Source organism: Homo sapiens, unplaced genomic scaffold (assembly GCF_000001405.40).
Source record: "Homo sapiens unplaced genomic scaffold, GRCh38.p14 Primary Assembly HSCHRUN_RANDOM_CTG10".
NCBI classification, from domain to species: domain Eukaryota; kingdom Metazoa; phylum Chordata; class Mammalia; order Primates; family Hominidae; genus Homo; species Homo sapiens.
In genome coordinates this window covers 14,956-30,386 of record NT_167213.1, presented here as the reverse complement: position 1 = coordinate 30,386, position 15,431 = coordinate 14,956, and the positions used below count along the sequence as shown (strand labels likewise).

Sequence of the window (15,431 nt, the reverse complement as noted above, 5' to 3'; positions counted from 1 at the left end):
TTCTGTGTGTCTCTTGTTTAAATTCTTATAAACTAAGAAGACAAGAACCGAGGTATCACATCAGCTGTCAACACAGCAATAAATCAGCCTCCTTCCTGGGGGCATAGTCCATGCAGAAAAGGAGAGTTGCATCACCTAGGTGCTGGACCCAGAAATATGTCACAATTTATCCTATACACGAAGTTAAGGTAATAGAGAAGAGTCATATTAAATAGTTTCTGGGCCCAGGGATATGTCACAATGACTCCTGTGAGCAGAGATCTGGCAGAATAATCCCATAACTGGTGTGCTGGAAACAGCGATTAGCCACCCTTTCATCTGTGGGCGTGACCCAGGCAAGAAAGAAGGGTCACGGCATTTAGGTGCTTGTTGCAGAGATATGTAACCATCTCTCTTATGGGTAAAGCCCAGGTAAGAGAGGAGAGTCACATCTCCAAGGTATTAACGTAGAAATATGTCACAAGAAACTTTTAGGCAGGGCCCATGCTGGATCTTCTTGTCTTCCAGATGTTAGGTCCAGTGATATATCAGAATACCCAAAATACACAGGGCTCAGTCAAAAAAGGAAAGTCACATCACCTAGGTGCTGGGTCTAGACATATGTCACGTCACGTCTCTTTTATGGGAAACGCTCAGGTAAAAAAGCAGGTCACATCAAATAGTTGTTAGGCCCAGAGATATGTCACATTGCCTCCTGCTTGAAGTGTCTAGGCCAAAGACTCACATCACCTCGGTGTTAGGCCAGTGTTAATATATAAACATTCAACCAGAGTTGAAATGGTGGCTCATTTCTAAGCCCAGCTTATAGACAAGGGAGGAGTCTCCTATCCTGACATAGTTAATTGTAATGATGTTGACTCTCATACCCGGGTTTAATGCCACAGACACGATCATGGGTCCCTACCAGCAGGAAGGTCTCAAAGTTGATTGCAACTTTCATTCATACTGTATAGCACCATTGGGTAGTACACAGAGAGTGCTAACTGGGCCGAGCACACAAGTGAGATTGTGGCACTCATATGCACACCCAGTCAACAGTAAATATTGTCATCCTCTCACATGAACACAGGTCACTGTTGAGGTTCTGAATCTCACACCTGTAGTCAGTCAAAGGTGGGAAGAAATGACTTATATATGGATACTCATGGGTTGGTGACTCTCAGACCAAGATTCAGCACAACTGTGAGGCTGTGACTTCACTAAGGTGACACAGTGTGCAGAGGAATTGAGGCTTTCATGCACAGATCCAGTCTGGTGTTGAGATGGTTACTCGTGGGCTTAGACCCAACATACAGGAGGTGTTGAATGTCATGCCTACAAGTGAGAGAGTTGTGGGATTGTTAATCTTACTCCTGGACGATTCTGCAGATTTCATGGTGAAATTTCCCAGTGCCTAGCACCTGAGTGACTTGACGCTCTTGCATGGACCCAGCCCACAGATATGGGTATTAACATATTGCTGAATCCAGCACATTGAGGGTGTAACTCTATTCTCCTTCCTTGGCACTGCCCACAGTAAGCATTTTGGCATATCGCTAGACCTTGCACCCAGGTGATGTGAGTCTCCTCTTCTGCCTTGGCGCTGCCCACAGGAAGCGTTATATATAGCTTGGCCTTGGACCCAGGTTATGTGAATCTCCTGCTTGTGCACTGCCCATATGGGACACTGCAGTATATTGCTGGGTCCACTACCCAGGTGTTGTAACTCCTCTGCCTGGGCCCTGCCTGCAAGGGGCATTGTGACATATCTCTGCACTTATCAGCCAGGTAATGTGATTCTCTTCTCCTGCCTGGTCCGTTTACACAGAAGGGATTGTGACATGTTGCTGGGCTTAGCACCAAGTTGCTGTGAATCTTCTGCCTGGATCAAGTTCACAGAAGGCCTTGTGACATACCTGTGGGTCCTTCACCTATTTGATGTGACTCTCCTGTCTTACCTGAGCATTGCCCATATGAAAGATTGTGACATATCTTTGGGCCAAGCACCCGGATGATGTGACTCTTCTCCCTGCCTGGGTCATGTCCACAGAGGGAAGAGTGACTTGTAACTGGGCACAGCACACAGGTGAAGTGATTCTTTTGCCTGGTTCCTACCTACAGGAGTCATTGTCAAATACCTCTGGGCCCATCAACTAGACTATGTGACTCTCTACTTCTTCCTAGGGCCTGCTCACATAAGGATTGTGACATATTACTTTGCCCAGTACTTACAAGATGTAACTTTTCTCTCATGTCTGAGCTCCGTCTTGGAGACGAATGTGGCTCATAGCTATGCCTAGCCCCTAGGTTCTGTAACTTGTCCTTTTTCAAAATCCTACCCACCAGGGGCATTGAAACATCTCTCTGGGCACTTCACTTAGGTAATGTTACCCTGTTGCCTGGAGCCTCCCCTCAGGTGGTATTGTGACATATTGCTGGACCCAGTACCTATGTGATATACTGTCCTTTCTTGCCTTGGTCCTGTATACATTGTGTATTGTAATATATGGCTGGGTTCGATGACTACATGATGTAATTCTTATGCGTAGGCCCTGCCCACAGGGACATTGTGACATTTCTTCAGCTCTGACTCTCCTCTTCTGCCTTAGCCCTGCCAAAAACGTGACATATAACTGGACCTAGTAACCAGCTAATATGAATCTCCTCTTTTGCCTGCACCCAGCATATTTTGTGTATTGTGACATATCATTTATCTCAACACCTGCAGGATGAAAGTCTCCTGCCTGAGCCCAGCCATCAGTCAAAATTGTCATTCTCCCACATGAACACAGCCCATGATTCAGGTTTTGAATCTCACACCCAGAGGCAGTCAAAAGTTGGAAAATTGGCTCTCATAAGTGGATGTTGTCCACAAGTGAGTATGTGACTCCCTGACCAAGATCCAAAACACTTGTGAGGCTGTGACTACAGTAAGATAACTCAGTTTTCAAAAGACATTAAGGCTGTCATGGAAAAATCCATTCCACCGTTGAGATTGTGATTTATGTACATAGATGCAACATACAGGAGGCCTTGACTCTCATACCCAGAACTGGCACTTATGTGGGCTTGTTAATCTCACCGAGGGACCTTCCTGCAGATGTGATTCTGACGTAAACCTCTATGTGTGATTCCTGCAGGTGTGATTCTGAAGTACACCTCTAAGTACGTTGCAGTGAGCCGAGATCGCGCCACTGCACTCCAGCCTGGGTGATAGAGTGAGACTCTCTCAAAAGAAAAAAAGAAAAAAGATGCAATGACCTTGCTTCCTGCCTCTGCCTGAAGTTAGTGGTCCCTGACTTCTGCTGGCACCCAGCAGTCAAAGTGGATGGGGTCGGGGCCAACTCTCAGCTGAGTACAGGGGCATTCCCCTCTCGCTACCTCACACAAGTGAAGCTCCTGGTCATGGCTAACCCGGAGCTGCTCTGTGTCCCAGAGTTCCTCGCTGAACCATTAATATTTATGGGGTACAGTGTGATGTTTCAATGCATCATACTACACGGTACAGTGAGATGCAGTGAAACATCACATTGTACTCCATAAACGTGTATAATTTTCATGTGTTAATTACATTATGTTTCACTGCATCATATTACACGGTACAGCGTGATGCAGTGAAACACCACACTATACTCCGTAAACATGTATAATTATCAAGTGTTAATTATATCACGTTTCACTGCATCACATTGTACCTTTTACACTGTACAGTGATCCAACCAGAGTGATTAGCATATTTAAAAATTTAAATATTTATTTCCTTGTCTAATAAAGTTCAAAATCCTCTGTTCAAGCTATTATAGAATAAACGGTACATTATTATTAGCTATAGTCATCGTACTGTGTAATAGAACACCAGGATTTATTCTTCCTAACTGTAATTTTGTACCCAGTGACAAAGCTCTCCCCACTCTCTCATCCTTCTGCCATCGATAACCTATGTTAACCACAATCCTACTCCCTACTTGTATGAGATGGACTTCTTCAGATGTCACATGAGTGAGAGCACGTGGTCTTTGTCTTTCTGTGACTGGCTTATTCCACTTAACATAATGTCCTCTACAGTCATCCATGTTGACACAAATTACGGAACTTCATTCTGTTTTATGACTGAACATTATTCCTGTGTGTGTGTGCGTGTGAGTGTGCGTGTGTGTATAGCATTTTCTTTATTCATTCTGTAGATGGGCCCTTATACACTGTTGGTAGGAATGTAAATTACTATAATCATTTCCCATTTCTATAGGGAGAACAGCATGGAGGTTTTTCAATTAATTACAAATAAAACTACCATATGATGCAGCAATCTCATTACTGGGTTTATATCAAAAGGAAATAAAACAAGCAAGTCAAAAAGATAACTGCACTTTCATGTTTTTTAAGCAGTATTCATAATAACCAAAACCATTATTTCTTCTTAGTATTTCTTAATTTACCTTTTTTTCATATATTACACCCTAAACTTTTAAAGGATTCATGTCTGGTTTCCAATTTCTGAAACTTACGAGTCACTGATTCTTTGACTATTGCCTTCCTGTTTAAAGAGTCTAGTAAAACAATTGAATGTCTTTTATTTCCTCTCAATCTAACCTTCATATATAAATATATTTATATTTTCTATTAATTTGCCTTGTATAACATATATGACTACATTAATTGTGATCAGCATTTCACTTTACTAGTCCTCTTTTCGGCTCAGCCTATTTTAATATGTAACTTATATGTTGTACATTAAATTGTTTTACAACACTTTCAATACTTTACTTTTCATTTGCCTCTTTTCCAAAGATAACTTGACAAGCTCGTAGTTTCTTTCTACATTATTTTGGTTTCTTGTTTTTCCATTATATTGACTTAAACATTTAAATGTAAATTCAATATCTGAGATTTATGTGCCATATTTCTTCTGATGCTTCACCCCAGTAGCTCATCTCTTTGTGTGCAACATAATCTATAATTTAATCATCACATATGGGAGACACCACATTCCAATGCCTGCAGGCAGTTCCTCTTTGTTTATTCCATTTGCCTTGTCAGAAGGGAACAACCCACATGGACCTGACATTCTTGTGATCAGACGCATCTGAGTGGAGCCCTGGCCTGTTAGGTTGATTTCTTCTCCAGCTCATTACCTTTATTTACTTCCAGTCCTGGGAAATTTTATTAATTTCATTTCAACTATATTAGGCATTCTGTGAATTCTTGTAACTTCTTGGTGATTTTAATTGTCTGCATTAAGTATTTAAAGTAAATTATTTTTCTGAAAAGCAGAAATATCCATAGTTGCATATATGAGTGAAATACTTTACAGAGATTTTCTATGGCATCTATCACTATCTCATGAGAAATTCCAAGTTTTTTCATTTGAAACACCCCTCTCATCAATAGACCATATTGTAATAATCTGTAGAATGTGATTACTTTTATGCCATTAGAAAATTAATTATATATTGTGTATATATTTTTGAAATACTCCACTGCAATAAATAGTATATGGTCAAAAGTATTGTTTTCTCTAAAATAAAACAAATATGAGTAAAATTATTTACCTGAATTTGGAATTTTTGTCTTCAATCGCCATTCTGTCTCATCAGCACTTCCTTAATCCATAAAAGATATCATTTTTATTTTTAATTCTTAATTTATAGAAATAAATTATTTAACGTTATCATGTTTTTATGGCAATGTAGGACATTTTTAATAAATATATTGAGCTTGAGGCCCTGGCTAAGTATTCCTTTTGTACAAGAAATCAGATTTTTCTGGCACAACTTCATTGCCTGCAATGGTATTTTTAAAAACTATGAATGTCAGCACACAGACTATTTCAACACTGTACTCTTTGTTCATGTATAAACATATCATTAGCTATGAAACAAACCAAATACAAATGCTGAATGTATAGTACATATCAACAAATTCAGATTCTTCATCAAAGAAAACAATAAAAGATGAATTTTCTATGACATGTCACCGTTCATTAGTTCTTTCATGTGATTTAGGCTATTCACATATTAGAAAATGTATGCACCACTATCCATGTTTTCTCAACATTTTTTGTATCTAGGTCCTGAAGGGCATAAAAAATGTATATTGTCAGATTTATTTTTATTGACTTTCAATGTTTCTTTTGCTGTATTTTCTGTGCATCTTAGTATGAATATATGGAGACAAGGACAAATGTACATTTAAGTGGTTATATGAATTTTGCTTATATGGCTAATTGCTTATATGGATGTTGTAAATGACAAGATAAAATAGTAAAGTTTGATAAACTTATCTGTGCCCTGTGAACTTTAGTTCACTTACTGTATAACTTAATTCAGGCACTAATAATTAGTTTAAAAAGTGTTTTTTTAAAAGCTGCCAACCACACTTTATTACACATTTCTGAATCAGGAAGGGGTAAATTGTGACATAGTTTTCTTGTGCCACTGAATTTTTTGAGGAGAAACGTTCTGCAATAAAATAAGAGTTTCCAAACTCTATTTTTAAAAAAGCTTGAGTTTTCTTCTGTGATTAACCTTCACTCCTCAGTCTCTTTTACCCAAGGAATGGTTCCTAGGTCATCTTTTGGAAGTTTAGTTTCTGGAAAGTTTTCAGCAAACCTCTCCTGTGCTTTGTCCTAGTTTCTGTTCTTGTTGTTTTGGAGAAGGTGAGCCTCTTTAATTGAGGATGGTTTGCCTGTCTCCAATCCTGCATGTGTCTGCCGAAGCTGAAGCTGTATCAGAGTTTTTATTCTCCCACCATCATTCCCCAGGCCTTCTCCTGTTTTCAACACATCTTTTTCAACATCTTCTGACTTTTGTCGCTATCAGTAATTTCAGAATGAACAGATGCAGGAGCATCATCTCTTTGGAAATTTCCTTCGCTTCCAATCTGCTCCCTATGTTTTCCAGCTCTGTCGTTATAGTTTACATTCTCTAGTATCTTATCATCTTCATAGTCTGTATTCTGTAAACCATATTTTACTCATATATTTTAAAAATCCTTTTCTTCTTTCCAACTCGTTTCCTTCTTAGTTAATGTTGGACCAACAAATGATTCATCTTTCTTATCAAGGAAAAGGTGAGCTCTAACCTACCCTGGTTCACATCCAACACAGCTATCACGTCAGGGTGAATATGATAAGATAAGGAGTTTCGATATCATGAACTTGCTGATCTGAAAGTTCAGTCACTCACTTTATTTGGAAGACTAACATCATTAGAGTAAGTCTGATAATAATCTGAGATTTGATTCTCAGAATCTTAATAGGAACCAGTGCTGTGGTCAAAATACAGTCCAGCATTTTCATCATAACTAAATCCAGTCTGTGATAAAGCCGCTTCTGCTGTAGCTCTCAAACTTCCAGCTAATGACGGACCTTCTAAGGATATATCTTGTGCTGCTAATGCAGATGCTGGCTCCTGTGAATTTGAGGCAAATGACCCTCTTGTCTACATTCAACATTTGCTGTTTTATCAGTAGAAGGGTGAGCATCATTTTCCATTTGTAATTGGTCTTAAGAATTCAAAGCAGGAGTTTCAATATCCTGATCTTGCTGATCTGACAGTTCAGTCACTCACTTTACTTGGAAGACTAACATCATTAGAGTAGGTCTGACAATAATAATCTGAGATTGACCAAGGATCATGGTTCTCTGTGAGTACTTCTACATCACACTTTCATTATCTCCATTCCCCCCACAGTGGAGCACGTTACTGAGTTCTTCCAGCTGCGTGAGGAGCTCCTGGCCGTTGTCCGTGTCGCTCTGAGCAGCCTTTCTGTGCAAGGCCAGCTTCTCCCCTTCCCGCACCTGCCGCCGGCAGCTCCGCAGTCGCTTTCCAGCTTCTCCGCCCTCCTTCTCTGGGGGCCCGCTGGGGTTCGGGGAGAGGGAGGGGCGGCAAAAGCGAAGGCGCTGGCGGGGGGAACGGGCCCGGGGCCCTGAGTTCGGGCGCAAGACGGCTGCAGCCTCGAAGGGGCTGCGCGGGGCCGAAGCGCAGAATTGAGGAGCCACAGGCCACGGGGACGCACGGGCAGCCACAGGCAGCCTCCGCGGCCTGGACACCACGAAACGCGAAGCCTAACGGGGCTGCGGCAAAGAGCAAGGGGACTGCGATGGCCCTGCCCTATCTTCGCGGCCTGGAATCCCGGGAAGGATTGTACCTTCGCCAGCCATTGGGGCCGGGGGAGGAGCGTCGAAGTTCAGGGGCCAGAAGCGCTCTGGCTGTTCTCGAGTTGAGCTGGAAACAGTGGCCAAGAGTGTTTTTTTTTCCGGAATTCTTTTTTTTTTAAATTTTATTATTATTATACCTTAAGTTTTAGGGTACATGTGAACAATGTGCAGGTTTGTTACATATATATATACATGTGCCATGTTGGTGTGCTGCACCCATTAACTCGCCATTTAGCATGAGGTATATCTCCTAATGCTATTCCTCCCTCCTCTCCCCACCCCACAACAGTCCCCGGAGTGTGATGTCCCCCTTCCTGTGTCCATGTGTTCTCATTGTTTATTTCCCACCTATGCGTGAGAAAATGCAGTGTTTGGTTTTTTGTCCTTGCAATACTTTGCTGAGAATGATGGTTTCCAGTTTCATCTGTGTCCCTACAAAGGAAATGAACCCAACCTTTTTTATGGCTGCATAGTGTACCCCGGTGCTTATGTGCCACATTTTCTTAATCCAGTCTATCGTTGTTGGACATTTGGGTTGGTTCCAAGTCATTGCTATTGTGAATAGTGCCACAATAAACATACGTGTGCATGTGTCTTTATAGCAGCATGATTTATTATCCTTTAGGTATATACCCAGTAATGGGATGGCTGGGTCAAATGGTATTTCTAGTTCTAGATCCCTGAGGAATCGCCACACTGACTTCCACAATGTTTGAACTAATTCACAGTCCCACCAACAGTGTAAAAGTGTTCCTATTTCTCCACATCCTCTCCAGCACCTGTTGTTTCCTGACTTTTTAATGATCACCATTGTAACTGGTGTGAGATGGTATCTCATTGTGGTTTTGATTTGCATTTCTCTGATGGCCAGTGATGATGAGCATTTTTTCATGGGCTTTTTGGCTGCATAAATGTCTTCTTTTGAGAAGTGTCTGTTCATATCCTTCACCCACTTTTGATGGGGTTGTTTTTTTTCTTGTAAATTTGTTTGAGTTCATTGTAGATTCTGGATATTAGCCCTTTGTCAGATGAGTAGGTTGTGAAAATTTTCTCCCATTTTGTAGGTTGCCTGTTCACCCTGATGGTAGCTTCTTTTGCTGTGCAGAAGCTCTTTAGTTTAATTGGATCCCTTTTGTCAATTTTGGCTTTTGTTGCCATTGCTTTTGGTGTTTTAGACATGAAGTCTTTGCCCATGCCTATGTCCTGGATGATATTGCCTAGGTTTTCTTCTAGGGTTTTTATGGTTTTAGGTGAAAGGTTTAAGTCTTTAAACCATCTTGAATTAATTTTTGTATTGACCACATAGTTGGAAGTAAAGCACTCCTCAGCAAATGTAAAAGAACAGAAATTATAACAAACTGTCTCTCAGACCACAGTGCAATCAAACTAAAACTCAGGATTAAGAAACTCACTCAAAACCGCTCAACTACATGGGAACTGAACAACCTGCTCCTGAATGACTACTGGGTACATAACAAAACGAAGGCAGAAATAAAGATGTTCTTTGAAACCAATGAGAGCAAAGACACAGCATACCAGAATATCTGGGACACATTCAAAGCAGTGTGTAGAGGGAAATTTATAGCACTAAATGCCCACAAGAGAAAACAGGAAAGATCCAAAATTGACACCCTAACATCACAATTAAAAGAACTAGAAAAGCAAGAGCAAACACATTCAAAAGCTAGCAGAAGGCAAGAAATAACTAAAATCGGAACAGAACTGAAGGAAATAGAGACACAAAAAACCCTTCAAAAAATTAATGAATCCAGGACCTGTTTTTTTGAAAAGATCAACAAAATTGATAGACCACTAGCGAGACAAATAAAGAAGAAAAGAGAGAAGAATCAAATAGACACAATAAAAAAATGATAAAGGGGATATCGCCACGGATCCCACAGAAATACAAACTACCATCAGAGAATACTAAAAACACCTCTATGCAAATAAACTAGAAAATCTAGAAGAAATGGATAAATTCCTCGACACATACAACCTCCCAAGACTAAACCACGAAGAAGTTGAATCTCCAAATAGACCAATAACAATCTCTGAAATTGTGGCAATAATCAATAGCTTACCAACCAAAAAAAGTCCAGGACCAGAAGGATTCACAGCCAAATTTTAGCAGAGGTACAAGGAGGAACTGGTACCATTCCTTCTGAAACTATTCCAATCAATAGAAAAAGAGGGAATCCTCCCTAACTCATTTTATGAGGCCAGCATCATCCTGATACCAAAGCCTGGCAGAGACACCACCAAGAAAGAGAATTTTAGACCAATATCCTTGATAAACATTGATGCAAAAATCCTCAATAAAATACTGGCAAACCAAATCTAGCAGCACATCAAAAACTTATCCACCATGATCAAGTGGGCTTCATCCCTGGGATGCAAGGCTGGTTCGACATACGCAAATCAATAAATGTAATCCAGCATGTAAACAGAACCAAAGACAAAAACCATATGATTATTTCAATAGATGCAGAAAAGGCCTTTGACAAAATTCAACAACTCTTCATGCTAAAGACTCTCAATAAATTAGGTATTGATGGGACGTATCTCAAAATAATACGAGCTATCTATGACAAACACACAGCCAATATCATAATGAAAGGACAAAAACTGGAAGCATTCCCTTTGAAAACTGGCACAAGACAGGGATGCCCTCTCTCACCACTCCTATTCAATATAGTGTTGGAAGTTCTGGCCAGGGCAATTAGGCAGGAGAAGGAAATAAAGATATTCTATTAGGAAAAGAGGAAGTCAAATTGTCCCTGTTTGCAGATGACATGATCGTATATCTAGAAAACCCCATTGTCTCAGCCCAAAATCTCCTTAGGCTGATAAGCAACTTCAGCAAAGCCTCAGGATACAAAATCAATGTGCAAAAATCACAAGTATTCTTATACACCAATAACAAACAGTGAGCCAAATCATGAGTGAACCCCCATTCACAATTGCTTCAAAGAGAATAAAATACCTAGGAATTCGACTTACAAGGGATGTGAAGGACCTCTTCAAGGAGAACTACAAACAGCTGCTCAATGAAATAAAATAAGATACAAACAAATGGAAGAACTTTCCATGTTCATGGGTAGGAAGAATCAATATCGTGAAAATGAACATACTACCCAAGGTCATTTATACATTCAATGCCATCCTCATCAAGATACCAATGACTTTCTTCACTGAATTGGAAAAAAAAAATACTTTAAGTTTTATATGGAACCAAAAAAGAGCCTACATCGCCAAGTCAATCCTAAGCTAAAAGAACAGAGCCGGAGGCATTACACACTACCTGACTTCAAACTATACTACAAGGCTACAGTAACCAAAACAGAATGACACTGGTACCAAAACAGAGATATAGACCCATGGAACAGAACAGAGCCCTCAGAAATAATGTCACATATCTACAACCATCTGATCTTTGACAAAGCTGACTAAAACAAGCAATGGGGAAAGGATTGCCTATTTAATAAATGGTTTACAAAAATTAAGAAGCCAAGAGTGTTTTAAATCGAGTTTCCAAGTGGCTAGATATGACCTGCTGGTCACTCTTATATTTTTTCTCCTATTTTTTTCTCCATTCATTGAGCTATGTTTGACAAATTGAAAAGTGTATATTTTTAGGGTGTACAAGAGGGTTTTGAGATGTGTATACATCTTTAAATTATCTCAATTAAGCTAGTTACCATATGTGTCCCCTCACATAGTTAATACATTTCTGTGTGTGTGTTGAGAGAACCTGAGATCTACTTTTGCAACAAATTTCAAGTACACAGTATTGTTAACTATAGTCACCATTGTGTACATTAGGTCCCCAGCAGTTACTCACCTTATAACTGAAAGTGAACCCCTTCCATGGATATCTCCCCACTTTCCCTCTTACTAGCCCATGGGGACCACCGTTCTACTCTCTTTCCATGACTTTTTAATTTTTATTTGCTTTTCTAGATTTTACATACAAACGAGATCATGCAGTAATTGTCCTTCTGTATTCAGCTTAAGCTTTCTCTTAGCATAATATGTTCAAAATTTATCAGTATTTTTTGTAAATGAAAGTTTCATTTTTTATTAAAGCTGAAATTATATACCTCTCAGTTTATTTATTTATCTGTATCAGAGGAGTGCAGATACCCTTGACGATACTGACTTTATTTCCTTTGGCTATATACTCCGAATTGGGATTAATGGTAGTTCTAGTTTAAAAATTATAAGGAACCTCCATGCTGTTTTTCATAATAGCTGCACCATTTGACATCCTCAGCAACAGTGTGCAAGTGTTCTCTTTTCTCTGCACCCTAATGATTTTATCCTTTGACTTTTTGATAATAGGTATCCAAACACCACGATAAGGTGATACCTCATTGTGATTTTGATTTTAATTACTCTGATAATTAGTGATGTTGAACATTTTTTATATATCTATTGGCCATTTGTATATCTTTGGAAAAATTGCTATTTATATATTTTACCCAATTATTAATCAAGAAATTGCTTTTAATTCTGCTGTGGGTTCTTCTTTTGTATTGAATAGTATGATATACGTTTTGGATAGCAACATATTATCCCACCTATGGTTTAGAAATGTTTTCTCCCATTTCATATAATGCCTTTATATTTTGCTGATTGTTTCCTTTATTGGGCAGAAACTTTTTACTTTGACATAGTTCCACTTGTTCATTTTTGCATTTGTTGACTGCGCTCCTGCTGCCAAATCCAAAGCATCATTGCCATGACCAGTGTCAAGGAGGTTTTTCCCCATTTTTTTAGAGGATTCATGATTTCAGTTCTTATGTTTAAGTCTTTATTTCATTTCAAATTCATTTTGTGATGGTATGAGAGAAAGGTGTACTTTTTGTCTCTGCATATCTAGTTTTTCCTACACCACTCCTTGATGTGTTTATCCTTTCTCTATTCTGTGGGATAGGTTGACTGTATATTTGTGAGTTTATTTCTGGGTCCCCTATTCTGTTATATTGGTTTTTATGTAGGTACTATACTATTTTGATGGCTATAGTTTTGTAATACAGTTTGAAATCAGGAAGTGGGAGGCTTCCAGCCTTTTTGTTCTTCTCAGTATTTGGCTATTTGAGGTCTTTTGTGATTCCATACTAATTTTAAAATAGTTGTTCTGCATTTTTAATAAAATGGCATTAAAATTTTGATAGAAATTTATTTAACCCTGTAGATCACTTTGTGTACTATGGATATTTTAACAATATTTTTAGAATCCATGCATACAGGATATATTTCCCATTTTGTATTCTTCATTTTCTTTCCTCAACATTTTATAGTTTTCAGTATGCTGATTTTTCATATTCTTTTTTCTAAGTGTTCCATTCCAACACTTTGTTCCTAAGTGTTCCATTCTATTTGATAATATCGTAAATGGAATTATCTTTATTCCTTTTTCAGATATTTTATTGTTACTGTAAAAACATGCACCTGATGTTCATATGTTAATATTGTATCCTGAAAATTTACTGAATTGGTTAGTTATAACAGGTTTTTTTTTTCTTTGTGGTAAAATGGTGGGTATTCTGAACTCTGGTTAAACTTTAAATTGATAGTTGCTATTATCATTTCAAAATTATTTAAAGTATAACCAGATGGATTCCTTCTTTCATGAATTCAAGTCTTCCCATTCAAAATAATTATGTGTGGTTGACCTGGGTCCTGGGGATTTGGGTCCCCCCGTGGGAGCCAGGAGATTCGGTCGGGGGTGGGAGGGAGAAGCGGTCAGAGAGGGGACAGAGCTGGGGAAGCAAAGAGGGGCTCCAGGACAGCCAGGAGGAGAGAGGGTCGTGTCGGAGACCCAGTGGGGAGAGAGAGTGGGCCAGAAAAGGAAGAAGGGTGAGAGGGGGAAACAGGACAGCTTCCCGGCGCGGCAGGGAATTTTGCTGAAACTGAGGGCCCCAGGGAACAGCGTGGGCAGGGTGGGAGGGAGTGGAGAGGACCCAACAGACTCCAAGGTCAGTGTGGAGAAAGGGACATTTCCCGGTTCATTCGCCTCTGCCCAGCGTTCTGCGGGCATGGAACCCCCAGGGGCAGGGGAGGAGGTGGCTCCCGGCGGGCTCGGAGAACTAAGGGGTGCACACCCACTTCGCAGGGCGGGGGTGAAAGGGGAAGACTGAGAGGGCTGTGGATCTCGCTGGCCCCGTGGGTGGGCGCGGGAGTGGGGGGGGCGGGTCCGAGCTCAGGGGCCCAGCGCCGGGGCCTGCAGGTGGTCCTGGAGGAATCTACAAGCACCAGCCAGTGCAGCAGGATTTCCAGAAAACCAGTGTGGATGGCGCCCTGGACACGCCCTTCCCAGCTGGAACATGTGTGAGGCTGAAATTTAAGCTCCGGCAGACAGAGAAGTGGCCGGAGAAAGGATTGGAAGAAACCCAAGTGCCAAGTCCAGCCCGAGGGGAGGAAGCAGAAATGGCTGACCTGCATCAAACTGGGCTGTCAGGATAAGGTTCTGGGCAGGATGGTTCGCTGCCCTCCAGAGACGCAGACTCGGCAGGAGCCTGAGGAGCACCAGGAGACCCGGTGCAGCTGGGCGGAGCGGGCGGTAAGGACCCCAGAGCTGCTGCTTCCCTGCACAGTTCGCCTTCTCCAAGGCCCGGCCCCCAGCGGAGTCCAGCGCTGAATCGCATGGCGCCCACTGAAGCCCTGGCGGGGGTAACCAGTGGAAGATCTCACCTCCCAGGGAGAAGACTCCACTGTATCCTCAGTTAATAAAACTGTTCTCTCTCCCCAAAAATAAATAAATAATTTTGTCTGGTCTTTGAAAATGTGTATCCTCTGTCTACTGGTCAAAATGCTGCCCATTTATCCATATGCCTAATTAGTCAAACTTTTTAACCTTGTTTTTTATTATGAAACAAAACAGTAAATTTGTTAATGGTTTAGCTATCATCTAATATGATTGAAAATATGTCAATTTGTCATTGCCGATGAACCTTTGTGTTATTTATTGTACTGTTACATATTCTGTCCATAAATGTCTAAGGGGCTTAGAACCTTGCCTAACATATTGTATGTGCTAAGTACCAACTACTCTAATGCGTCAAATTGTCTTTCTATACCATTCTTAAAATAGAATATTTTTTATTTATTTTTATTAAAAATTTTTTTGCCTAATCTAATTATTTACGAAAATTATGAGGTCTACTCAGTTTGTCCTCTTGATAAAAGCCAAAGTTTTTTTCTTCTCTCTTATTTTTTTGAGACGGAGTCTCCCTCTGTTCCCCAGACTGGAGTGCAGTGACACAATCTCGGCCCACCACAACCTCCACTT

At 40.4% G+C, this 15,431-nt stretch overlaps 1 pseudogene; it reads right to left on the bottom strand.

Moving 5' to 3' along the window:
• Positions 1 to 6,505: 6,505 nt before the first annotated feature.
• LOC100996375 (angiogenic factor with G patch and FHA domains 1-like) lies at positions 6,506 to 14,787 on the bottom strand (annotated as a pseudogene).
• Between the last annotated feature and the right edge of the window lie 644 nt (positions 14,788 to 15,431).